General features: G+C 35.7%; 1 protein-coding gene and 1 long non-coding RNA gene across 15 annotated transcripts in view; one reads left to right on the top strand and one right to left on the bottom strand.

Annotated features, from left to right (window-relative positions):
* Window positions 1-27,415, top strand: part of MON2 (MON2 regulator of endosome-to-Golgi trafficking) — a 133,651-nt gene that overhangs the window by 9,288 nt on the left and 96,948 nt on the right. For 11 of the 14 annotated variants that reach the window (XM_017019043.2, NM_001278472.2, XM_017019041.2 and 8 more), the window contains 6 exons: window positions 8,057-8,120; window positions 17,802-17,929; window positions 18,903-19,034; window positions 22,806-22,935; window positions 24,670-24,767; window positions 25,460-25,585. In XM_017019043.2, coding sequence (XP_016874532.1) covers window positions 17,843-17,929; window positions 18,903-19,034; window positions 22,806-22,935; window positions 24,670-24,767; window positions 25,460-25,585 — 573 coding nt within the window. In that variant the 5' untranslated portion in view covers window positions 8,057-8,120; window positions 17,802-17,842. Of the gene's footprint in view, window positions 1-8,056; window positions 8,121-13,922; window positions 14,004-17,801; window positions 17,930-18,902; window positions 19,035-22,805; window positions 22,936-24,669; window positions 24,768-25,459; window positions 25,586-27,415 lie in introns of all 14 variants that reach the window. The other 3 variants (XM_017019045.2, XM_047428542.1, XM_017019044.2) reach the window with 1 other exon arrangement.
* Window positions 6,236-8,829, bottom strand: MON2-AS1 (MON2 antisense RNA 1). The gene is made up of 2 exons (NR_186172.1): window positions 8,656-8,829; window positions 6,236-6,919 (listed from the first exon to the last, which is right to left on the bottom strand). It is a non-coding gene; the product is annotated as an MON2 antisense RNA 1 (long non-coding RNA).

Consider the following 27,415-nt stretch of genomic DNA (forward strand, 5'->3'; position numbering starts at 1 on the left):
GTTAAGGAAATTTTGTTTTCTAGAAGCCAGAGGTTCTAGAATAGAATGTCATATAGGTATATATTTTTAGAAGGTTTTAGGGTTGTAGAATAATTGAATGTTACAGAAGAAAATCTTATTGATTTCAATGTAGTATTTGTTTTGTGAGCATTTTGTCACCTAAAGGGTGTTCTAGATGTATCAAGTACTCCCAGTGTACACTTGACTTCGGGTCTTTTGATTTTACCTGACATCTGAAATCACAAGTCTTCAGGCAGCTCCATACCTCTCTTGTGTCTCATTAGTATATTATTTTATCTAAGTTGCCATTAACTTGAATTTCACTTTTTTTTTTTTTTTGAGGCAGAGTCTCGCTCCATTGCCCAGGCTGGAGTGCAGTGGCATGATCTAGGCTTACTGCAACCTATGCCTCCCAGGCTCAAGCGATTCTCTTGCCTCAGCCTCCTGAGTAGCTGGTATTACAGGTGCACACCACTACTGACCGGCTAATTTTTTGTATTTTTAGTAGAGACGGGGTTTCACTATGTTGGCCAGGCTAGTCTTGAATGCCTGACTTCAAATTATCCACCCACCTCAGCCTCCCAAAGTAGTGGGATTACAGGCATGAGCCACCATGCCCAGCCTCACATTTCTTCTTTAGCTCTTGTTTCATGCTGTGTCCTGTGGAAAAATAATTTGGACCTTTGGTAAATTTGCCTTAATATCCAGGTTTTATTCTCATAGAAGTCGTGAAAAACATTTGTTATTTAAAAACAGAGCAGGGGTTAGGTGTGGAAGCTTATGCATATAATCCTGGGACTTTGGGAGGCGAAGACTGGAGGATCACTGAGATAGGAATTCGAGACTAGCCTGGGCAACATAGCAAGACCCCCATCTCTACTAAAAAATTAGCTGGACGTGGTGGTGTGTGCCTATAGTCCCGGCCATTTGGGAGACTGAGGCAGGAGGATTGGTTGAGCCCAGGAATTCAATGCTGCAGTGAGTTATGAAGGCGTCACTGTACTGGGTAGGTCCATAGTTTGTTTTTTCCTTTCAAAGGATGTCCTTACACTACTGTTGATAGAGTGATGCCTTATCTCAAAAACAAAACCAAGCAGAACAGCAACTTTTGTGAAAAAAAAGTAACCTTTTAAATAACTTTTTTTGTGTGTGTAAATCTATACATAGTTTTGAGTGGACATTTGTTAATTCCTTTGCTACCATCCATTCCCTTTTGCTTCCTTCGTTGGTAGGCTATGTTCTTCTCTCATTTTCAACCCTTTGGATTCTCATTCCTAACTCTAGGGTACCATGATTAACTTAATCTACTTTATATTTATTTATTTATGTTGAGACAGGGTCTTTCTCTGTTGCCCAGGCCGGAGTGTGGCAGTGCAATCACAACTCACTGTAGCCTCGACCTCCTGAGCTCCCACCTCAGCCTCTCGAGTATCTGATACTACAGGCTCACACCACCACGTTTGCCTAATTTTTTTTTTTTTTTTTTAGAGACAGCATCTGCCTATGTTGCCCAGGCGGTCACGAGCTCTGAGGCTCAAGCGATCCTCTCGCCTTGACCTCCCAAAGTGCTGGGATTACAGGCGTGAGCCACTACTTCTGGCCTAGATTAGTCTACTTTAAATCCTCCTAACTGCTCCCCACCTCACCTCCATTCCTGCGCAAGTTACATAATGCTAGTGAGTGCTTCTGGGAAAGAAAAGTTTTCTCTTTCTTTCTCTAGAGCTACTGAAAGAGACCCTTTCTTTCCTTCAAAATGGTGTCATATGAAATTTGAGGTGTGGAATGGCTGCAGCCGTTGTTGCCAAGGTTGGATGTAGCCTGAGGATGAACCTACTCATGGAACAGGGCAGAACCAAGAGAATGGCAGATAAGTGAAACTGCAACCCTGATGACATTGTAAATCTCTGGATCAGACTTCCTCTGCATGTTTCAATTTGTGATACAGTAAAGTCCATCCCTCTCTCTCCCCTTTTTAAGTGAGTTAGAATTGGCACTTGTAGATATAATTTGTGTGTGTGTGTGTGTGTGTGTGTATAAAATACCAACAAGTTTTTCTGGTACATTTAGAACTTTCCATTTCTTCCCTTGGGAACATTTATTATATAGCTACTGTATGAAAGGCACTGGGATAGACAATAATATAGAGCTATGAATGAGATCTATTTCTTATCTTTATTATTCTTATAGGTAGTATGAAGAAACAGACATAATGAGATGAATAAGATAAAGTGTTACAGGTACAAGCCATAGACAGTACTAAAGGTAGAAAGACTTTTCAGTAGTTACCGTAGAAGAAAGTGATGGAAGAAAAGATTTCCGTCACTGCTTATGACACTAGGAGGGTGACAAAATCAGAAGGACCTGCACCATAAGTCTATAGCTATCATCTTGTTGTTACTAATGGTTTAATTTCAGCAAAGCATTATTTGTCACATTAAATTAGTACAATTTGGGTTTGTATTTCATTTGTGAATATGTTGGCATTATAATTTAAGACCTATAAAGAGTATATTCCTGATTGTATTTATATATACATGTAAATTTGTCAATGACTGGGTAGGTCCATAGTTTGTTTCTTCCTTTTAAAAGATGTCCTTACACTACTGTACTAAATTTTGAGAAACACTGGTAGGAGTGGGCACTAGGGAATCATTGAAGAATTGAGACAGTGGATGGATGGAGGACATGATTGTAGGTAGAGACATTTCTTCATTTAGGTTGATAATGAGTGTTGAACTAAAGTGTGGGAGTGAGATTTGAGAAAAAGGTACAAGATAGGTTAACCAAAAAGACTTCATGGCTGATTAGACTTGTGAGTTGAGGGAAAAAACCCTGGTATCTGGTCAGTGACTGGATAGATGATGCTGCTGGTAAGAAAAACAGAAATTGTAGAAAGAAGAAATAGATTTTTCTGGCTGAGGTAGGAGTTTGGGGGTAGAAGGAAATGATAACATCTATTTTCAACATGTCGAATTTAAGGTGCCTTTTAAACATTTAGGTTAATAATTTCTGTAGTATAGGAGACAGATCAGGAACAGGAATATAATTTAGAAGTCTTCAGCAGTTAGAAAGTAAATGAAACCATGAAATTACAGCCATCCTTTGATATCTGCAGGGAATTGGTTCCAAGAACCCCAGGGAATACCAAAATCTGAGGATATTCAAGCCCCTGATATGAAATGTTGTAATATTTGCACATAACGTGTGCATATCTTCCCATATAATTTCAGTCATTTCTAGATAATACCTAATACAGTGTAAATGCTATGTAAATAGTTGTTATGCTGTATTTTAAAATGTGTGTGTGTGTGTGTATATCCCCCCCCCCCCCCAAATATTTTTGATCTGCAGTTGGTTGAATCTGCAGATGCAAAACCAGTGGATACGGAGGCCTGGCTGTATGGTATTACACAGGAAGAGTTTACTGAGTGAGAAATGAGGTCAAGGATATTCTAGGTGGTCTTAGAAAAGCAGTCAGCAAAGGGTTTTGAGAAAAGAAGAAAATGTTTCTTGAGAAGATTAAGAGTAACATATTAAACGCTGCAGTGTATTTAAGGCTTTGGCATTCTTTCCAACTCATAGATTGTCCTCAGCAGTAGATAAGATTACTTACCTTAACCTATATCATTTCTATTCAAGTCTGTAGAACTTTTTTCATCTTCTTTTCTTCTTTTTTTTTGCATGAGTATCAATTAAGGAAAAACAACAACAACCATGTTTACAATTTATTAGGTTCCCTGCAGATATACGTGGTATCTGATCAGAATAGGGAATACTTTTAAAGCAAGAAGCTAACAATTTTTTTTCACACCTGCAATCCTTGATACATAGAAGGAAATCTGATTGCGAAGACCTCTGTTCATACAGAATAACCTTAAAGATATAGGCTAGTCTTATTTCATACCTAAGTGATATACAAGTGTGTCAATAATCATTGATAGTGAAATTTTCCATCAACACAGGGTGCCTATGAGAATAAGATGATACAATTCCAGAGTATTTTGACAGTAGAAACTTGTATGTTAAAAATGAGGAGCTATGTGATAGGTCTAATTATATCTAAGGCAACAAACAGTCCTTTTGGCAATTCCTTGAATTTAGGAATGAAAATACTGGTTACGTATCTTTTAAAATACCATTTTGGAACTACTTAAAAAATACTTGACCAGGCACGGTGGCTCACCCCTATAATCTCAGCACTTTGGGAAGCTGAGACAGGGGAATCGCTTGAGTCCAGGAGTTTGAGACCAGCCTAGACAGCATAGGGAGACCCTGTCTCTACAAAACAAAAAACAAAAAAAATCAGCCAGGTGTGGTGGTGTGTGCCTGTGGTCCCAGGCTACTCAGGAGGCTGAGATGGATGGATTGCTTGAGCCTAGGGGTCCGTGCTGCAGTGATCTGTGATCCTGCCATTAACACTTCAGCCTGGGTGACAGAGTAAGACCTGGTCTCAAAATGAAAAACAAACTTCCTTTTCCTTCTCCTTATTGTGTGTTTGCATAAAGATATTTATTAGACATGTGCACACATTCATGGTTCAACTCTTATTCATCTCAGGAAATCAGGACTATGGCGAATTTGAAATCATTTACTGACATCTATCATCTAGCACGCTACAGGATGGATTTTGGAAACCGTTAAGGTTTGACTGACTAGAATTTAGAAAGTCTGGATAAATTACATCCATATTTATGATGGTTCAATTTAATCAATCTTGGTTTGCACCGAAGCAAAACCACATATTGACTTTGGACCTATGCAAGGTATATAGGGCCATAGTGAGAAAGGGGAGAAGTTAAACTCGAAAATGATGATGGAGGAAATTTCAGTGACCACAGATTAATTTCCACTGCCTCAGTAAGAAATTGATCCAAGATAATTTGAGATGGGGTGTGTGAATGTTACAAAATACACATAATAATTTCAGTGTTCTATAATTTTTACAGTAGTAAATTTGCTGTGGTTTGTACATCTTCAAGGTATATCGAGAATCTCACCACTTCTTACCATCTCTATCACTAACAATCTTGGGCCAATCCATCATCATCTCTTGCTTATATTATTGCTGTAGTCTCTTAAATTTTACCGTATATTGGAATCACGTGAAGATTTTTAAAAATACTGATGGCTCGGCCAGGCGTGGTGGCTCACGCCTGTAATCCCAGCACTTTGGGAGGCTGAGGCGGGCGGATCACGAGGTCAGGTGATGGAGACCATCCTGGCTAACATGGTGAAACCTCGTCTCTACTAAAAATACAAAAAATTAGCTGGGTGTGGTGGCGGGTGCCTGTAGTCCCAGCTGCTCAGGAGGCTGAGGCAGGAGAATGGCGTGAACCCGGGAGGCGGAGCTTGCAGTGAGCAGAGATGGAGCCAGCCTGGGCAACAGAGCGAGACTCCGTCTCAAAAAAAAAAAAAAAAAAAATTACTGATGGCTGTCTCCCACCAGCAGTCATTCTGGCTTAACTAGGTTGCAATCGGGGCATCAGGACTTATTTAAAAGCTTCTGGTGTTTCTAATATACACTGCCCAAGTAATCAGAAAACCAATAATCTTTCCCTGAAGTAATTCATTTTGACCATGTTTTTCTTCTAGGAGATGTATTAATTTAATTTGGGACCTTTCCATTTTCTAAAGTTTTAGAAATAAGTCCTGGTGTATCCATTAGGCTTCTTAGTTGTGAGCAATGAAAGCTGACTCTGGCTGATTTAAGCTGAAATAAACTTTACTGATAGGATATTGAGTGGTTTACAGAGTTGGTAGAAGGCTGGATGGAGCCAGCCCTAGAAAAAGTGTATAAACAAAGGGGAGGCTAAACAACTAGAACCATGGCAAAACTCATGCCAGCGTGACCGTTACGGCTGTGTCTGCTGAATGATGACTGGATGCTGTTGATTGCACTTCTGGGTATGCTGGTCACTCTAGGCCACTACTGGTTCTGCTGCCTTCGGAAACTAGATACTGCTTTCACTATTGCTGTCATCAGAAAGAATTCTTTGTTGTCTCTGCTCTTTGTTACTAGGTTCTACATTCAAAATTGCTGGTGGGTACATCTCTGGGTAAGCATAGGCTGCCAGCAGGGCATGTGGAAAAGCATCTACATTTTCAGTTTTAATAATGGAAGATAGGCTCTGTTTTGCACCAAAATTTATGAAGTTAGGAATTCTTCAAACACAAGCAAGGGCTTGACATGCTTGGAGCCAACAAAATGACAGAAGTCTACTGCACATGGTATATCTTACAATGTGTTCTTTATTTTAGACATCAATTCATTGTTTGTCAGACTAACAGGCCATAGCATACTGGTGTTTTTACATAATTATTTTTAAACCTTTAGAGACTGCTACCACTTGTCCCTTAGCAAGCAGTAAGAGATAAAATAAATGACCAAGTAGCAAGCAAATTAATAAGAAAACTTGTACATATAGCTTCTTATGAGTACGTACTTACTATCTTTGGAAGTATAGATAACAGTGTATGTATAAAATAGCATGTTTCTAAATAATAAAAATGTTCCAAGTTTCTATGATGGAAATAATATGTCAATATTATATCTCAGCACTCTTCAATGGAATTATAATGTGGGCTACAGATGTAATACATATACGTAATTTTTAACTGCATTAAAAAGTAAAAAGAAGCCAGGTGCAGTGGCTCATGCTTGTAATCTTAGCACTTTGGGAGGCTGAGGTGGGAGGATCGGTTGAGGCCAGTAGTTCAAGACTAGCCTAGGCAATATAGCAAGGCCCTGTCTCTACCAAAAAAATTGAAAAATTAGCTGGACATGGTGGCATGTACCTATAGTACCAGCTCCTTGGAAGACGGTGGTGGAAGGATCACTTGAGCCCAGTAGTTTGAGGCTGCTGTAAGCCATGATTGTGGCATTGCACTCCAGGCTGGGCAGTACAGCAAGATCCTGTCTCTAAAAAAAAGGGGAAAAAAAGTAAAAAGAAACAGACATTTAATTTTAATAATAATTTAACGTAATAATTTGAAATATTATTTCAACATGTAGTCAGTATAAATATTTAGGGGATAGGTTATATTCTTTTTTTTAATACTAAGTCTTCAAAACCTAGTATATATTTTACACTTAGAGCATAGCTCAATTCAGACTGGCCACATTTCAAGTGCTTAATAGCCACATGTAGCCAAATGGCTACCAAATTGGACAGTGCAGTTCTGTGGCATTCTGTAAAATACTATGTGACTTGCCAGTACTGCCCGCTAAACATACTACGGTTAATGAAGTGTTTGGTTATCCATTCTCAAAAAAGAAAACAAAGTAGCTTTTAAAATCCAACACAGGTCTGGGCACGGTGGCCCATGCCTGTAATCCTGGCACTTTGGGAGGCTGAGATGGGTGGATCACTTGAGGTCAGGAGTTCAAGACCAGCCTGGCCAACTAAAAATACAAAAAGTACAAAAATAAAACACTCTACTAAAAATACAAAAATTAGCCAGGCATGGTGGTGGGTGCCTGTAATCCCAGCTACTTGGGAGGCTGAGGCAGGAGAATGGCTTGAACCAGGGAGGCGGAGGTTGTAGTGAGCCAAGATCGTGCCATTGGACTCCAGCCTGGGCAACAAGAGCAAAAAACTCCATCAACAATAAATAAATAAATCCAACACAGTAGTTTTACTTGATTTTGCAGTGTTCTATAATTTTTTTGTGTGTGGTGGAGAGAGAGGAGGCTTGAAATGGGGAAAAGGAGCCTAATTATTTTCAGTAGATTTTGTTTTTGTTTGTTATTTTTATTCTCGGAAAATTTAACTTTGCAGGGGATTGAGGTATTCCAGATAATGCCTTAAGGCAGAGGAAGGCAACATGTTGTAGTGCATTCAGAGTTTGCATGTGAATAATCAAATTAATCATGTTTTATTACATTTAACGTATATGTCACTACTGGGCTTAGTATCTGATGGTTTGAAAATTAAAAAGGTGGTAGGGTAGTGACTGACTTTGTGCTTGATATTTTGTCTATCACATATGACTTATTTTCCATAGATAATTCATTTTGGCAGTAAATTTTGTGTTCTAATTATTTTTATTCTTGCAGGCTGCTGAATCAGGAATAATAAAAGTTAAAACAATTGCTGCACGAAACACTGAAATTTTGGCAGGTAATTTTTTGTATTAAAAATTTAATAATAAACAAAAATTTGACTAATAGTAAAAGTAGAATCTTTATTGTAAAAGCCATCAGTTTTCTGTAACATCTCTTCCTCATGCCCTAACATATGCTATTCATAATGAAACAGAATGGGCAAAAGTCCATAACTTATGAACTGACTGTATTTCCCAGAGACGAATGCTACAAAAATTCTCTGAAATCAGAAAGCTTAACACTACTGACTCCTTAAAGGCAAGGAATTTTTTCTTACTCATCTTCGCATTCTCCTCCACTTCCTGCTAATCACCTGAGACACACCATAAAAAGCATTCAGTAATATTTGTTCCATTGTATTGAATGAAAGATTTGTTCTCAGTCCACCTTCTGTGATCTACTTTCTCTTTAATATAATACGAACAGTTCATAACATAGTCTTCTGTATTTAGTTGTACCGTATGAATTTTGAGTCTTGGGATTAAGGCAGTATGATCATGAAAAAAGAATGAGAGTGAAGTAGAGAAAAGAAAACAAAAATGTTTTCTTACCTTCTCTTGATTGAACCTGATTTTCAAGGAGGAATTTTCAGGAGTTTCTCTTTGGCATCCTTCTTTTCTACCCAGTCCACTCCTTTCTCTTCCTTGGTGCCTTTTGTTCTTGCCTCAATAATGAACATGGAAAAGAGGTAAACTGGCTTTTTTTTTTTTTTTTTTTTAAGAATCTGTTATATGCAAGGCACTTGTGTCATTCTATCTTACATAACAACCTTGTGGGGAAATATTATCTTATTTGATAGTAGAGCTAATTGAGATGTGAAGAGGTTAAGTTACTTGCCCAAGGTCACAGGAAAGGTGATAGAACCAGATTAAAATCCAGGAGTGTTCAGGAGCCCATGTTCTTCCTGCTACAGTGTGCTACCATGGTATCACCAGGTTTCCACGTTAGCCACTTACTCCCAAGTATTACATATGTAACCAGTGCTTGCTTCAGTGATCCTTTAATCTGCATTTCCAGTTCCAGTAGTGCTGTTGATCTCAGCTAATCTATGAGGAAAGTAGTCCTATTAAATTAATTTACAGAGTCCAAATAGTAAATAATCTCTTTAACTTTCATATACTTTACATTTTTTAAAAGGGATACCAGTAAATCTGTAACTGGTGGGATTTCAGAGTGTTATGAAATGAAATTAAGATTTTTGGGGTCAGATTAAGGATCGGGGGCAAGAGTGGATTTCACTTAGGCTATCCAGCTTTGCTGGAAATTTGCCCTTAGCATAAGCGCTCCTCAATTACATCTGTTTCCCACAGCTTTTTCCCTGATTTTGAACAGTCTTATCAAAACACCCAATAGTTTTATAACATTATGCACAGAAGTAAATAATGCTCTGTGTGCATATTGAGAAGTGGTATAGTGAAAGTGGTGGGTAAAGGCAGAGGTGCACATGGTAGGGTTAGGAAGGCTGGCAAGTGGGTTTTTTTTGTTTGTCTGTTTGTTTTTCCTGAGATGGACTTTTGCTCTTGTTATCCCAGCTGGAGTGCAATGGTGTGGTCTCGGCTTACTGCAACCTCTGCCTCCTGGGTTCAAGCGATTCTCCTGCCTCAGCCACCCGAGTAGCTGAGATTTCAGGTGCCCAACACCACATCTGGCTAATTTTTGTATTTTTAGTAGAGACAGGGTTTCATCATGTTGGCTAGGCTGGTCTCGAACTCCTGACCTCGGGGTTCTCCCGCCTCGGCCTCTCCAAGTGTTGGGATTACAGGCGTGAGCCACTGCGCCCGGCCAGCATGTGGGTTTTAATGGGAGATGTACATTAGGCAGATTAGCTACTGTGGGGAAATTGGTGTTTAAAGAAAAATGATGACCTGGATATTTTTATGTTGGAGACTTACCATAGGCCAATCGTATTAGAATATCACTGTAAATATTTAAAATATTTACTGTTGCTAATATCATTGTTGATACCGTGGTAAGTCCTTAATTATTCTCCAATAATACAAATTTTTATTGGTTTTATAGTTTGTGGAAGACTTTTTTTAAAAAAAGACTGATTTCCTCAGAGGATCACTGTTATTCCAGCATTCTATCCCAAGTAAAATGTCTAATAAATTACTCTTAAGATGAGTAAGAAAAATTTTGACTTAGTCGGTATGATTTAAATATATAGGCAGGCTGTTAATTTCATTTTAATTCAATTTGCATTATTCAAATCAAGTTAGAACAGATCTGGTGCAAATACAATTAATAGTCATGTTTTAATCTTCGTAGTATCCAGAGCCCATATACTTGAGGAGGTATATTTGCACTTAAACTTTATCCTAGTATTTTTTCTGAAGTATTTAAAGCAATTATACCTAAAAGTTGTAGATTTATAGACCACTATCATCTTGAAAATCAGAGGCTCTTCAAAACAGAGTTTAAATTAGTCAGTATATAGTTTCTAAACTATATAATTAAGAGTACAGTTAATACTGAGAAAAATTTTTAGTTAACTTTTTAAAATTTCATGAGAAGTATTTACTTCTTTATGGTACTTGAGACTATAGGAGACTATACTACTTTTGTGCTCTAATGTATGTCAAAAATACCAAACAATTGAGGAGTCTCAAATGAGATTGGATATTGAAATCTCATATGTCTCTGTATATTCAGAATATATAAAGATTTGTTGTAAGAATGATAACTTTTAATTTGGATCAAGTAGTTTAATTAATGATACTCGGCATAGATTTCTAGTCAACTTTAGTTTTCTTAGATTTATTTTCCAAGGGAATATTATTTATATTTCAGAATAAGTCTTTGCTTTACATCTCCCCTTCTTTTAAGCATCCTCCTTTAATGTTTATTTTTCTTTGTTTTCACTGCTGTCATGAATGCTGACATAAGTGGGAATGCTATGCCAGGTAATGTCAGCATTGATTCAGATGTACAGATCATTATTTCAAAATTTCCATTTTCTTTAAAAATAAAACTTTGAAAATGAGAGATAGCAACATAAAGTTTTCATTTACAAGGCCAAATACCTTAATCTTACATTTATTATATGAATATTATATATTACAAATTGTGTTTATTATCCTAGCTTATAGTATACTAAAAATTCAGAAATTCTTTGTTATACAAGAATTACATAATCTGCTTTTTGCATAAATTTTTGTAACAAGGAAATCAATGAAGTTGTGGTATCTTTTAACATTGTATATTTAGCCCCTACCCCAAACCGTAGTGGTTACATCTACCTGTGGCTGCTTTCAGCTGCTGTCAGTATACATAAAGAATTTTTACATAAATAATCAGTAGTTGTGACTTTTGTTCTTTTTTCACATGTTGTTCCCTCATCTTCTTTTTAAAGAGCTCATAACTAAAAGATCTTTAAGTAGCAATGAGTAAATATACTTTGGAATTTTTTTCTGATTTTAAAAGGTAATTTATTTGCTTTTAAAATTGAATACATTTATATTTATATATTTAATATATTTTCTTATCAATAAATGTGCTTGTGATATTTTACAAACATCTATAGAATATATCATGCAACATATTCCTAATGAGTAAATAATTATGTAAGAATCATTAGAGGAGATATAAAGATGGGTAATGAAATTCGCCTCCAGTCTATATGGAAATACAAGAAATACACTTGAAAGAAATGTTTGTGCCCTTCATTCTGTTTAGCCTACCTACTCCTTCATTTGGCTTTTGAAGACCTTTTCTAGAAACTTTTTCTTCTAGATGACTTACTCCCTGAGGTCAGAGTCAACATCTTATTGTGACTTATGTTGCCAGTATTTAGCATCCTACATGGGAAATAGTAAGCCCTCTTTAAATGTAGGCTAATAAATAAATTACACTAAGAGGCAACTAAGTCATTGCTGCCTCTAGTATGTTTTTCTACCTCTCTTTAATTTTACGTGATTTGAGTACGTGAGTTTTATCATCTTAAGTTCATGTCAACCAGATAACAGAAAAATGAAGGAGACTGACCCTCAGCATAGAATTTTTATACTATGTGGTTAATGCTAAGGTAGAAGTATAGAGAGGGTTGTTATGGGGACATAAGGAAGGCACCTAACCCAGCCTGGGAATCTGAGACTGAGTCTGGAAGCCTGAGGAAGACTTAGCCAGGCAAATAAAATATAAAAGTATCAAGTAAAGGGGACTTCTTAAATACATGAGGTTTGTGTATAGAGCTTGGTGTATTCGGATACACTATTGAAGTGTTGCCTGACTGTAGAGTATGAAGGGGGAATAGGTGTCAGGAATTTCATAGGGGCCATTATGTGATATCCTGAGCAGCATGATGGGAAGAGTTTGAGTCAGGGAAGTGACACGTTCATATTTATATTTTAAGTAAATTAGGATAGCAGTGTGGAAGATATATTTCAGTGTATCACATTTAGGCAGAGATCTTTTGGGAAGCTATTTCTAAAATCCAGGCTAGAAGACATGAGGGGCTGTAAATAATACCATTTTCAGAAATTGACCTGTTGAGCCAGGGAGATTACATAGTTTATCTACAGTACAGTGTGCTTTTATTTATTCTTTTTTTCTTTTTAAAATTTACATTCTTATATCATTCGTGTTTTTTGTTATAAATATTTTTCTTTGATGCCAGTCTTTTTAAATGTTTTAAATTGCTGTATGATAGGGGAGGGATAGCATTAGAAGAAATACCTAATGTAGATGATAGGTTGATGGGTGCAGCAAACCACCATGGCATATGTATACCTGTGTAACAAACCTGCACGTTCTGCACATGTATCCGAGAACTTAAACTATAATAAAGAAAAAGAAATAAAAAAAATTTAATAAAATTGCTGTATGATATTTCAGCAAGTGGATTGTAGTTTAACAATTTCCTTATGTTAGGCATGTTTCAGTATTTAGAATTATTTCTTAATAAATTTCTATAAGTGGGATTATAAAGTTAAAGGGTATGAATATGTTTAAAATTCTTAGAATATGTTACCATACTGCTTTCCAAAAAGATGAAAGTTTATACCTTTACCAACAATAAGTGAGCATATTTTTATAACCTCCTTGCCAGGATTATTATTTTTAAAAGTCTTTTGGTAATTAAATAGACAAATGAATTCTCACTTCCACTAGATGTTGATCATTTTTTCCCTGTATTAAATTATTCTTTTTTAAAATTTTACATTCATTTCTTCGAACTTTTGTGTTTTCCTTGTCAAATTGCTTGAGCTATTGATACAGGAAAAATATTAACCTCCCATCATGTTGATATCATATTTTTTCTAGGCCATTTACCTTTTGATTTTTTTATCTAGAGGCTTTTCAGTTTTATATAACCTAACCACTTTTTCTGATTTCTTTTGTAGCTCTGCACTTAGGATGACCTTCTCCTTCTACATAGTTGATAGTCATTTTTATTTTATGGTTTGATTTTTCTTAATAATATGTAGGGTAATGTGAGGACTTAGATTTTTTCTTTTGCAAAATTACTAACCAATTGAACCAACATCATTTGTTAAATAGCCCCTTCCCTTTCCTGTAATGTGCTTTTAATGTGAAACTGCCTAGACTTTCATTTGTCCTCATTCTTGAATCATTTAAATATATTTTCAGACGTTTTGAACCCACTAAAATACCTTTTAATGTTGTTAGGAATGTCAGTCTTCCCCAGAACTAGATTTTAAGCATTTTGAGTATCAAAATAATGTCTAAGTCACATTTTCTTTCATAAGAATTGAAGTTTATTTTTTAATGGCTGTTAAAATTTTTCACAATAAAACTTTTATTACACCTGTTAATATGATTCATAGTGGGGTATCCTAGTTTAATTCTTTTTTTCCAGGATAAAAACTGCAATTATGCAGTGAAACTGCTCAGAGCAAGGAAACCCCTAGGATATGGGGACCTGGTGGACCTTTTTCAGGTGTGTGAAAGTGCATCATTTGATCTCACAGTTGTATAATTTGGAAATACAATATTTATCCAATACACAGTGTTACTCTATTAAAGAGTTACACTATTGAGGGACTTAGGCAGAAAATAAACTTTTTCTTTTATCCCTCTCCGTAACCTATTTTTATGTTTTAATGAAAATAGAAACAAATAACTTTCATTAAAAAGAATCAGCTTTTTCTGTTTTTTTTTGTTTTGTTTTGTTTTTTTCTGGAATGACATACAAAATGGTTAAAGTAAAATGTCTTCTTTATATTGCTGTACAGCCTTTTTGTCAGTGTGATTTCTAAAATCTCAGTCTGTAGGAAGGTATTTACGTAAAGCTATCATTAACTAACATATTATTAAAGTTATTGTGGAGAGTGGATATCTCTCAGTTGGAAGAGCAAGAATAATTTATACTTTTTTGGACTATTACCACTTTTTAAAGAAGAAAAGGAAAAGCAATAACTTTTTTCCTTATGATTTTTCTCTTACTGAATTATGATCTCAATACAGTGGATGTGTTTTTGTTTTTCAAAGTATACTTCAGAAGACTTAGAATAGATAAATAGGTTTTATTGTTTTGTTGATCATTTATTCTAGATAACATATAAACTTCCTTTTTGATTATTCTTATATAAATTAGGAGGGAAAAGATGAGAAATAGATGTTTGATTCCTTTGAATTACATTAAAATAAATTTAAAAATTAATTTCTATTACTATCGTAAGTTTATCTCGGCTTGATAGACCTGGTTGTAGCCAACATGTACACAGCATTTCACCATGACTCACCTTATTTTGTTGATTTTAATATGCACAGTTTTTTCACCTTTTAACATCCCCTGATTGGTATGCATCTTGCAGTTGATGGCATCTTAGAATCATTATGAGCCAGGTGATGTTGTAGTTATCTTTTTCAATATGTGCATGAACTTGTTCATGGTTCTTCATGTTATTATCACATCAGTTGAGTTGCATGCATTGTTGATACCACATACATTGAGTTGAATTGCTGTTTAAAGTGTCACCCTAGTTATTGAAAACTTTCCGTTAACATCTTATGGTAAGATGAATAAAGCACCAGTAACAAAACATGCAGAATGGGTGCCATTGACTTAGAAGAAAATCTCAGAGACAATAGTGAAGTATTCTTTCAAGAAATAAGGTGTTCATTCCCAGTGCTGTTTATGGCCCAGAGGATGAAATTGTGAAGAAAAATTCTAAGTGATTAGAAAGCATTGTGTCGTAGTTTAATTGTCACTGACTTTTTTTGTTGTTGTGATACTATGGGTATGTCTTAAAATCAATGGCATCTTAAACCCTATGAAAGTATATCTTCTTTTTTGTTTTTTATGAAAATGAGTTCATTTTCCTTTATTTGTCTGAAGACTTCAGGCAGACAACTTTAAAGTGCAAATCACTGGGTCCTCTTTTAACTTCCATTATTGTCAGGTTGCTATGTACCATAAGGAATGGCAGCATAATATTGTAGGAAGAATAGTGAACCAGGAGTTAGAAGACATACGGTATTTTCAAATTCTGGCTTTACTACCTACTTACTATATCAGTAGGGCTGCATCAGGCCCTGTAAACTCTCTAAGATTATTGAGATGCTAAAATGAGAAACATATTAACACATAAAAATTATAAATGTAACTTGGTTACTATTAAGAGCTTTTAATTTGCCTGAATAACATTTAATAAGGAGTGTTCAGCAGAGATAGGGGTTGCCTCACACTTCAGTGGTTCTGGCAGGTTTAAATCTGGTAGGATATTTAATCATTTTATTGAAGCTTTATGAGGAGCTTTATGGTCATGATCTTTTAATCATTCATATCGTTATGGAAAATTTGTCTCTAGGTTTGAATCAAAACCTTTGTGTACAAGAAAGCAAGGGAATAAGGACAGGGAGCCCTTTTGGGAACACTGTTCATTGCCAGTTACATTTGCCATCTTTAGCTGTGCTAAATCAGTAATTTATGCTGGCATACTAAGGGACTTTGCAGCGCAGGCTGTAGGAAGTTGTAGTCTTAATTTACCATACCATAAAGACAGCTTTGGAAGAAGAAGGTGAGGATTTAAATGATAAAATTAATGTTAATACTGGTTTTACATTTTTAATGGTGATTCTGAATTACTTTGTGTCAATTTCTTTTGAGAAACATTTTAAAACTTAGATTTATATGTCTTTATTGCATGTCTTGCCTCAAAAAATAACTGATAGAGTTAGTTCTTTTTTTTTTTTTTTTTTTTGAGACGGAGTCTCGCTCTGTCGCCCAGGCCGGACTGCGGACTGCGGTGGCGCAATCTCGGCTCACTGCAAGCTCCGCTTCCCGGGTTCACGCCATTCTCCTGCCTCAGCCTCCCGAGTAGCTGGGACTACAGGCGCCCGCCACCGCGCCCGACTAATTTTTTGTATTTTTAGTAGAGATGGGGTTTCACCTTGTTAGCCAGGATGGTCTCGATCTCCTGACCTCATGATCCACCCGCCTCGGCCTCCCAAAGTGCTGGGATTACAGGCGTGAGCCACCGCGCCCGGCCGTTAGTTCTTATAATAAAAAATAATCACAGCCAGGCACGGTGGCTCACGCCTGTAATCCCAGCACTTTGGGAGGCTGAGGCGGGTGGATCACGAGGTCAGGAGATCGAGACCATCCTGGCTAACATGGTGAAACCCCGTCTCTACTAAAAATACAAAAATTAGCCGGGCGTGGTGGTGCATGCCTGTAATCCCAGCTACTTGGGAGGCTGAGGCAGGAGAATCACTTGAACCGGGGAGTCGGAGGTTGCAGTGAGCCAAGATCGTGCCACTGCTCTCCAGCCTGGGGACAGAACAAGATTCCATCTCAGAAAAACAAAACAAAAAAAACCAAAAAGACACACACAGACACACACACACATACACACATACACACACACAAACACACAAAACAAATAATCGCTTATGAGTTTAATGTTCTCTTGACTTGGAATTCCGTGTTATTTATTCAAATTCTGTAAGGATGACAAACTTGTCTTATCCATCTTTGTGTAGCCTTTCAGTAAATGTGTGTAGATTTAATTTCATTTTGTAAATTTAATTATGTGTAATTCAGTTTGTGCATTTTCTAACCTCGTGCATTTTCTAACCTCTTACATTTTTATTGCCACTTAAAAACTTCTGAGTGAGCTGGCTTGGTAGAAGAAGTTAAATTAAGGTTCGGAATTATAGCATGTGTACCCAATTAATTTAAAGTGCTGTTTCAGTAATAAGAGGAGTAATGTTATTGTTTTTAATGAAATGTGTTTATTTCTTGAAGAAATTAGGGCTGTTTAAATTCAAGGCATATAATAAAATTCTAGGAAATTTCTTAATATTCATTTACAAGTATTGTGGGGATGATGTATGTACTATTTTTAATGATTCTATTCTAGGGTGGGAATTCTTATTTATGTTTTCCCTCCTGTAGTATATGAAGAAATAGAGTGCTTTTTTGAGGTGGGAAAGAAGTTTTGAAAATCCATGTCCTAATAGAGTTTGTAGCAGAAGATGGAGGAGAACCAAAGGACAGAGTGTTAGGAGAAAAGCATGGGAAAGCAGTAGTTAAGGCGTATAGCTTAGATACAGAGTCTGGAGTGTCTGTCCAAGGTATTTTAACTCTTGGTACTTGATTTTTGTTTTGGTGTTTATTTTACGTAAAGTGGATTTTTTTTGAGATCGCTATTACTGGTTGTAATTATATAAAAATGCATTCTTAATTATAGATTAATTTTAATAATTTACTTTATATGTGTTCTAAATGAAGCACTGAAAGAGAACAGCTCAGAGGTTGTACAGCCTTTTTTAATGGGTTGTGGAACCAAGGAACCGAAGATCACTCAGCTATGTTTGGCTGCTATTCAGAGACTCATGTCACATGAAGTCGTGTCTGAGGTAATATGAAGATTTTATCTAAACTTCACCTAAGAGTTGAATCAGAAGTTTTCATGAAAGGAGAATGAAACATACCTGATATTTAATATAAAACTTTTACAAATAGCAATGTGCTCGGAGAAAATGGCTTTATTTAAAAATATTGCCAAATTTTCTCCTCATTAAACACTCACAAACAAGTATTTTTGCAAGTCATTTGTAATCTAAGAAGTCACAGTTCAGTAATGTAGATGAAAATTTTGAGACTCAAGCAAGTTTTCAATTTAATTGGTTATTTAATTTTTCTTTTATAAAAAGAGGAGGGAAGAGCGTGACTCTCTTTCCTAGATTATATGGAGTAATAATTTGTTTTTCATTAACTTAAACGTATTGTTCATATCTAACCTTATGATGGAAAAATGAGAAAAAATATTTCTTAACCATGAATCTGCATGTTGGTCTCAAATTTAATGGTGTTATTCTTAATTTTGTACTCCATAAGTACTATAGTAGAAGTGATAAATGTTTTGACATTAATGTATCATCTTAAACAATGTCAGATTTAATTGAGTGTGCCAATGTGTTGTTAATATGGGTTGCATTTTTTTTCTGTAGCATACTGTAAATGAAGTATTTGTATCTGAAACAGCAGGCTCATAGCTAATTTGCATATGTCCGTATTATTCATGTCCAAATACAATCTATCAACATTATTGTAGAAATGAGCTGTGATTTTGACTAGGTATTACAAAACTGCTTGCTGCTATTTGTATATATTCAAATAGGATATTACAATTTTTGAGGGAGAGAATTGATTGTAAGTCCTAAATTACTTGAGAGATGTGTTTGGATCTAGAAATCTAAAAATATGGGTTTTGTTATTGTGATCAAGAAATCCTCTTCAGCTGATGTAGGTTTGTATACCTTCTCTTATTTAGGGACATCAACATCTATATTGTATTTGTTGACAATAATTAAAATAACTATTTTACAGACTGCAGCTGGAAATATAATTAACATGCTTTGGCAGCTAATGGAGAATAGTCTTGAAGAACTTAAGCTACTTCAAACAGTTCTTGTTCTTTTAACAACCAATACAGTAGTTCATGATGAGGCACTTTCTAAGGTAGGAAAACTGTTTGCCAGAGTTCATATGTGCTTTGAGACAGTATTTGAATAAGCTGGCTGAAAGAGAAAAGCTTGGTGCCATTTGAACCAAAAGCAACTTCCCTACAGCTATGGTGATGATTGACATTGCATGTTAATAACTGTTGGTACCTTATTTTTTCCAGGTTAGAGTTGAAATCACGTTGGGGTGCTTAAGCAAAGCCCCTTGGGTACAGCCAACAGGCTGAGTTGTGAATAGGAAATGGAAAAAAGAGAGAAAGTAGCCCAAGAGTAAGAATAGGGAAGGAGGGAACTAAGAAAAAAAAAACATGTTGTAAGATCACAAGGTTAGGAGATCAAGACCATCCTGGCTAATATGGTGAAACCCCGTCTCTACTAAAAATACAAAAAATTAGCCAGGTGTAGTGGCGGGCGCCTGTAGTCCCGGCTACTCGGGAGGCTGAGGCAGGAGAATGGCGTGAACTCAGGAGGCAGAGCTTGCAGTGAGCCGAGATCGTATCACTGCACTCCAGCCTGGGCGACAGAGTGAGACTCCGTCTCAAAAAAAAAAAAAAAAAAAAAAAAAAGATACTGCCTTGAGTATTTTAGATTCCCTGTGATAGCTCTCCCTACCCATAATTTCACATGTATATAGTATGTAAACCAGACAGTTCAAATATGTTTCTTAAATGGCTAGACAAATCTTCTTTCACCATTTATACTAGATAAGATTGCATGTATGATGGCTAGTTCTCATTTTGTCATCACTCCCACCCACTTTGGAACATGTAAGAGCCATTCTATTATTTATTTCACTTTTTAAAAAGTTTTTTATTATGAAATATTTCTAAAGAACAGAAAGTAGAGAGTACCATAGCAGTAAATGAATTATAGTCTAAGGAATTTTTTAGACTCTCAGTAATAGCTTTATTATAATTTGCATGGCTTATAAAGAAGTACAGTATACTGTCACATTAAGCTGTGTATACTATATCAAGTGATGTTCTTAGATCATAATGAGATTTTAACTGCAAATAGTTTATTCTTTTAGGCTTATATGAGCTATATAAATATTATATATATTTTTGTATATCCTTTTGTGTATCATTCCTCTTGGTTTCTAGCTATCAAATTATTGTTCTGATGCATATATTTAAAGTTTTATTAAATGTTTTCATTTGATCTACTAAAGAAATAAGAACTGGTTATAGGATTTATTTTAGTATGTTGGTTAATTTGGAAATGCAATAATTGGGGATGAGAAAAATCAAGTATAAAGAAATAGTATAAAATTGAGTAATATGAAGGCTTCTATATAACTATGTACTGTGTCTTTCCTTTATGTTGAAATCTAAAGAGTAGTAGCGATATCAAAGGCTTGTGTCTTTTAGTTAAGGTGATAGGCATTGATTCTAAAACTACCATTATGTTTTTCTCCAAGAATGACTTCTTTTAAAAGTAGAAAACTTTTGGAAGGATAAATAGGAGAAAATCTTTGTGATACTGGGGTAGGTAAAGATTTATTAGGGCACAAAAACTAAAATCCTTGAGTAAGCCACAGAATGTGGGAAAATACAAATATCTGACAAAGGACTTATATCTAGACTATATAAAGAACTCTTAAAATTCATTCATAATGAACTAGAAATACCATTTGACCCAGCCATCCCATTACTGGGTATATACCCAAAGGACTATAAATCATGCTGCTATAAAGACACATGCACACGTATGTTTATTGCGGCACTATTCACAATAGCAAAGACTTGGAACCAACCCAAATGTCCAACAATGATAGACTGGATTAAGAAAATGTGGCACATATACACCATGGAATACTATGCAGCCATAAAAAATGATGAGTTCATGTCCTTTGTAGGGACATGGATGAAATTGGAAATCATCATTCTCAGTAAACTATCGCAAGAACAAAAAACCAAACACCGCATATTCTCACTCATAGGTGGGAATTGAACAATGAGAACACATGGACACAGGAAGGGGAACATCACACTCTGGGGCCTGTTGTGGGGTTGGGGGAGGGGGGAGGGGGGAGGGATAGCATTAGGAGATATACCTAATGCTAAATGACGAGTTAATGGGTGCAGCACACCAGCATGGCACATGTACACATATGTAACTAACCTGCACATTGTGCACATGTACCCTAAAACTTAAAGTATAATAAAAAAAATTCATTCATAACACAGACAACCCAATTAAGTATGGACAAATGGTTTCAACAGACACTTCATTAAAATAATATATTCAAATGGGTGACAAACACATGAAAAGAAGTTTAGTGTTATTATTAGGGACACAAATTAAAACCATAAGGAAATAGTATTATGCTTCCATTAGAATAGTTACGATGAAAAAAGACCGTACCAAGTGTTATGGAGGCTGTAGGGATAGTTCTAAATTCACGTATACTGCTGGCAGAAGTGTAAAATTGTAAAACCACTGGGGAAACTGGCGGTTTCTTTCTTTTCTTTTCTTTTTTTGAGATAGTGTCTTGCTCTGTTGCCTGGGCTGGAGTGCAGTGGCGCAATTTTGGCTCACTGCAACCTTCCACCTCCCAGGCTCAAGGAATTCTCGTGCCTCAGGCTCCCAAGTAGCTGAGATTACAGGTGTGCACCACCACACCCAACTAATTTTTGTATTTTTAGTAGAGACAGGGTTTCACCATGTTGGCCGGGCTGGCCTTCAAATCCTGGCCTCAAGTGAACTGCCCACCTCAGCCTCCCAAAGTGCTGGGTTTACAGGCGTGAGCCACCATGCCCAGCCAACTGGCGGTTTCTTAAAAAGTTAAACCTATTCTTACCAGATGACCCATCCATTTCACTTCCAGATATTTACCCAAGATAAATGAAAACATATGTCCTCACAGTGACTTATATATATGAATGTTCATAGCAGCTTTTTTTTTTTTTTAACAATAGTCAGAACCTGGAAAATTCACCAGCAGGTAAATGGATAAGCAAAATATGGTGTACTCGTACAATAGAATACTGCTTGGTAATAAAAGGTACAAACTACTGATAAACAGAACAAAGTGGATGAATTTCACAAATATTATTCTAAGTGGAAGAAGGTGGGCCCAAATGAGCACATACTGAATTAATCTGTTCATATAAAAATCATAGAAAATGTCCATTGATCTGCAGTGAATAAAGCACATGGGTGTTTGCCTGGGGCCACGGGTAGAGGAAGAGATGGGTGGCAAAGGAGCACAAGAAAACTTTTGGGGTGATGGAAATATTTTGTTTGTCAATTGTGGCCATAGTTTCATGGGCCCACATGTTTGTCAGAACTCATCAAATTATATAAGTTTAAGGGATTCTATAATTTATTGTATATAAATTACATCTCAATAAACTTGAGTTTTAAAAGAAAAAAATGACTCCTTTTAAAAGTTTCATAATTTTATTTATTTATGTGCTTAGCAATCACATAGCTTCTCCAGATCATTAAGTGATACAACAAACTTTGAGTTCATGTTATTTGCAAAGCACGTCATTCTGGGGAAATAAAAGCATAACACATTGTTATATAGATGTTAAAAAACCAAATTTTAAAAGGTATGTTTCACATTACCATAGCTAATCTTCTGTGGCTATATATTTACTGACAACTTGGATTACATCAAAATCTGAGGATTTTATATTTTATTGTAAATGGTGGGACTTTCCATAATGGTGATTGAAACAACCAAACATAAATTATTCAATAAAGATAATGGCTTTGCTTTTCAATCTTATTTCACACTAAATGAAAATTGTGTTTTCAGGCAATCGTTCTTTGTTTTCGACTACACTTCACAAAAGATAATATTACAAATAATACAGCTGCTGCTACAGTGCGACAAGTTGTTACTGTTGTTTTTGAGAGGATGGTTGCTGAAGATGAACGACACAGAGGTAAAGTGCTAGAAGTTGTTTTACTTTGTGGGTGGTTCTTGGATGATTTCATTTGTATTAACTTTCGGCCTTTGCTCAGATGATCAACATTATTATGTCTATAATGGCAACTTAAAAAATAAATTCCTCACAATTTGATCCCCTGAGGAATAGGCTCCTTGTTTTCCTTGTTTATTTCTAGTGTATGCATAATTTTGTATTAAATATGATAATTTCACATTTTAAACCAAGTATTGCATTATATGTATTTTTTAACCAAACATTACATTCTATGAATTTTTCATGTTATTGCTTCGTCCTCATAATTTAAATTTTAATGATTGCATTATATTTCATGGCCATTCTGTAATTTAACTGAACTAGTCTCCTATTGGACACTTGCATTCTGTTCAGTGTTTTATAACTGTTTTGGGTGGTTTCCTACGTATCTTTTTGAATTATTTCTTTAGGATAAATTTCCAAGAGTGGGCTTCCCTCGTAAATTTTTGTCTGTATCTGCTAACATGTGTTAAGAACATTTAAATAATATAAAAATTAATTTTTGGCTGGGTGCGGTGGCTCATGCCTGTAATCGTAGCATTTTGGGAGGCTGAGGTGGGTGGATTGCCTGACTCAGGAGTTTGAGACCAGCCTGGGCAACACGGTGAAACCCCGTCTCTACTAAAATACAAAAAATCAGCTGGGTGTGGTGGTGTGCACCTGTAGTCCCAGCTACTCCAGAGGCTGAGGCAGGAGAATCACTTGAACCCGAGAGGCAGAGGTTGCAGTGAGCTGTGATTGCACCACTGCACTCCAGCCTGGGTGACACAGCAAGACTCCATCTCAAAAAAAAAAAATTTTTTTTAAAATATTTTTATCGACTACCTTTATTAGAATATTTCCACTTTGGTATATTGTTTTTTCTTTATTTTTTCTTGGGGAAAAATGCAGGTAGAATTCTAGTAGTTTGAAATATTAAGGAATTATAATGTGTCCCATTTGGTTAAAATATTCAAAATCATATTGTAATAACACAGGGCAATTTCCCAGTTTCAATGTTTTATACATTCATATCCTCAATAAAATTCCTGGAGTGGTAGTTTTAGTTGTTTGTCTCTAAGGCTAATCTGCCATTTAATACTTTATAGTAAGGTAGAAATACTTAGAACTTTTTTCTTTTCAGGTAGTCGTTAAGTCAATATTTATTCAAAACAGGCTGTCATAACTTACAGAGAATGATATTTTTTACTAGTAGTTAAAGAAATGCTGAGTTGGGAAACACCATCCTAGCTGATTCTTAGCTGGTGAGTATCTGTAACTGACATGGTAACAGCAGCAGATCAAGCAGTAATTCTCTTGAAAATAGTGAAATGGTAGAGGAGTTAACCATATGGTAAACGTTTATGTTTGTTTGATATTTAAAAGCACATTTAAAGATCATGTGAATTTTAAATCCATGAAAAAAAGGGGCTGAAGAATGGGAGACTGGGAAACCAAATGTATGAACAAAGATACCCAGCTTATTAGAGTGAATGTAAGGTAGCAAAGAGTGATTTTTATGGTATTTGGTGTAAAAACAGATTCCCATTTTTTTTTGTTTTGGAGGCATATGTTAACATTGGAAATTTTAATTCTGAAATTATAACTTCAACTTATATAAACAAATATTTATTTTAAACATTATCTTTTAAACAGAATATATAATTTATTAAAGGCTATTATGAACTCCTAAAACCCATCCTGTTTTGATTGCAGATATTATAGAACAACCAGTACTGGTACAAGGAAATAGTAACAGAAGATCTGTCAGTACCCTCAAACCTTGTGCTAAAGATGCATATATGCTTTTCCAGGTATTTTAGTTGATAAAAGTAATTTTTATTCTAAAATATAGTTTTGTGTGAATTTTTTAGTTGGGGATTTTATGTCTAATTTTTTTAATGTGAATTTTTTTGAAAATATGTCAAAGGTAGTATTAAGATAGTTCTAAAGAACAACTTTTATATTTACTTTATAGCTAATTAACATGATAAAACGTTATTACTCACTTTAAGAAAATGAAATAAATGCAGAACTAGAAAACAGGTATATCAGAAACAACTAGTCATACAAAAAAAAGTTTCTTTAAAAAAGGAAAATTTAAGTAATAAATTTGGTCTGTGTAGTATAATTTGATACATAGATACCTGATTTTTACATCACTTGTCATGAATAAATAATTTTAGGTAAAACAAGATTAATCTGTACTGAAAATATTATTACTTCGGATTAAAAGCTTAGTTTTTCATTTGAAATAATGTTAGATTAATCATTTATCTGTCTACTGTCTCTGTGTTGTCAGTAGTTATATGATTCTTTAGAAGTTTACTTATATAATCTATCAATTACACAATTTGTCAAAATTGGAATTACCAGTGCTTAGTTTCTAAGGAGCAAAAACATGTATTATATAAGAAGATAGATTTTTTTTAAAGATTTATGAACTGCGAGTTTGGAAAAGCACATTTAATTCTAGCATGTGAAATTGTTCGATTTATTTTCCCAGGATCTTTGTCAGTTGGTTAATGCTGATGCTCCTTATTGGCTAGTGGGCATGACAGAAATGACTCGGACGTTTGGCCTCGAATTACTTGAGTCAGTCCTCAATGATTTTCCGCAGGTCTTTTTACAAGTAAGCCATTTATAGTATCTTGTGACAAAGTTAATCTGAATTGTTTTACAGATATTTTTAAAGAAAGCAACGTGTATTTTTTTTCCACCTTAAAAGTGGCAAAGAGGCCAGAGTTGGTGGTTCATGCCTGTAATTGCAACACTTTGGGAGGCTGAGGTGGGAGGATTGCTTGAGCCCAGGAGTTCGAGACCAGCCTAGGCAACATAGTGAGACACCATCAATACAGAAAATAAAATGAAAAGGCTGGGCGCGGTGGCTCACCCCTGTAATCCCAGCACTTTGGAAGGCCGAGGTGGGTAGGTCATGAGATCAGGAGTTTGAGACCAGCCTGGCCAATATGGTGAAACCCTGTCTCTACTAAAAATACAAAAATTAGCCAGGCGTGATGGCGGGTGCCTGTAGTCTCAGCTACTCGGGAGGCTGAGGCAGGAGAATGGCTTGAACCTGGGAGGCAGAGGTTGCGGTGAGCCAAGATCGCCTCACTTCACTCCAGCCTAGGCGACAGAGCAAGACTCTGTCTCAAAAAAGATAAATAAAACAAAATTTTTTTAAAAAAGCTAGGCATGGTGGTGCATGTCTGTATTCCCTGCTGTTCAGGAGACTGAGGCAGGAGAATCGCTTGTGCCCAGGAGGTCAAGTTTGCACTGAGCCGTGTTCAAGCCACTACATTCCAGCCTGGGTGAGAGAGCGAGACCCCATTTCTTAAATTAAAAAAAAAAAAAAGGAAGGAAAGAAAGATATGGAGAATTGTAGCCTCAAACTTTAGACATATAACAGTTTAGTGTTACATTACTTTTTTTTTAGTGCCTTAGCATTTTGGAATTTTAATAATAGAAAGAATCTCTAGAGACAATCTATTAATAGTCAGGTATTTCCCAGTGTATGGGTCTATGAAGGAAATGTGGTATGTGAGCTACTTGTATAATATTTAAAAGCTTAAAGAAATTGTTGATTTTTACTTGCTTATATATCTAGCTATGTGTTTTCACATAACTTAAATGGAAAACAACTAAAGTCCAAAATCAAGTCAGTGACTTGCACAGGGTCCCTTAGTTATTAGGTCTTGAACTGTAATTTAGGTTTTTTAACTACTCATCTAGTGCCTTCCCCTACCATGCTTCCTCCCTAAGTAATCCATTTTATCCTTTGCTCTTACCTACAAAATGAGTGAATCAAGTGCTACAGTAATATAAGATTTTTTAGGCCAGGATGTGGAGCTGAAATTAGTTTTATATGGCTCATAATTTTTGGTATACATTAGGCAGTTGTTAAATGCTTTTGGCGAGCAGTATATACACTGATGATTCCCTTTCTTGTAGTGTAATAGGATAAGCAGTATTTAGGTATAATTTGTCCAGCACTCTTGTATAAATAATAGTCATAGTAGCTGTCATTTCTTGACTGCCTTCTATGTGCTATGTGCCAGATTCCTTACATATTAATATTCTCTTTTATCTTCCCAAATGCCTGAGATACCAGTTATCACTGTTTTACACATGAGGAAACTACAACATCCAGAGGGTTAAATAATTTGTCTGCAGTTTCATGGTTTATAAGTGATGGAGTTGGGATTTGAACTCATGTTGATCCAAATTAGTTTCTCTCTGTATCCTCTCTTTTTTATATACACATCACATCCCGACCATCACCTTCAAAATATATTCAGGATCCAATCAGTTCTTACCACTTCTACAATTATTCTAGTCTAAGCTACCATCACCTCTTACTTGAATTATTGTGTTGGCTTCCTAACTGGTCTGCTTGCATATATGTTAATACTTGTACCACTTACTATAGTTGTTTGTGACACCACATCCACAATGGTATTTT

The sequence above is a fragment of the Homo sapiens genome, chromosome 12, assembly GCF_000001405.40.
Source record: "Homo sapiens chromosome 12, GRCh38.p14 Primary Assembly".
NCBI classification, from domain to species: Eukaryota; Metazoa; Chordata; class Mammalia; order Primates; family Hominidae; genus Homo; species Homo sapiens.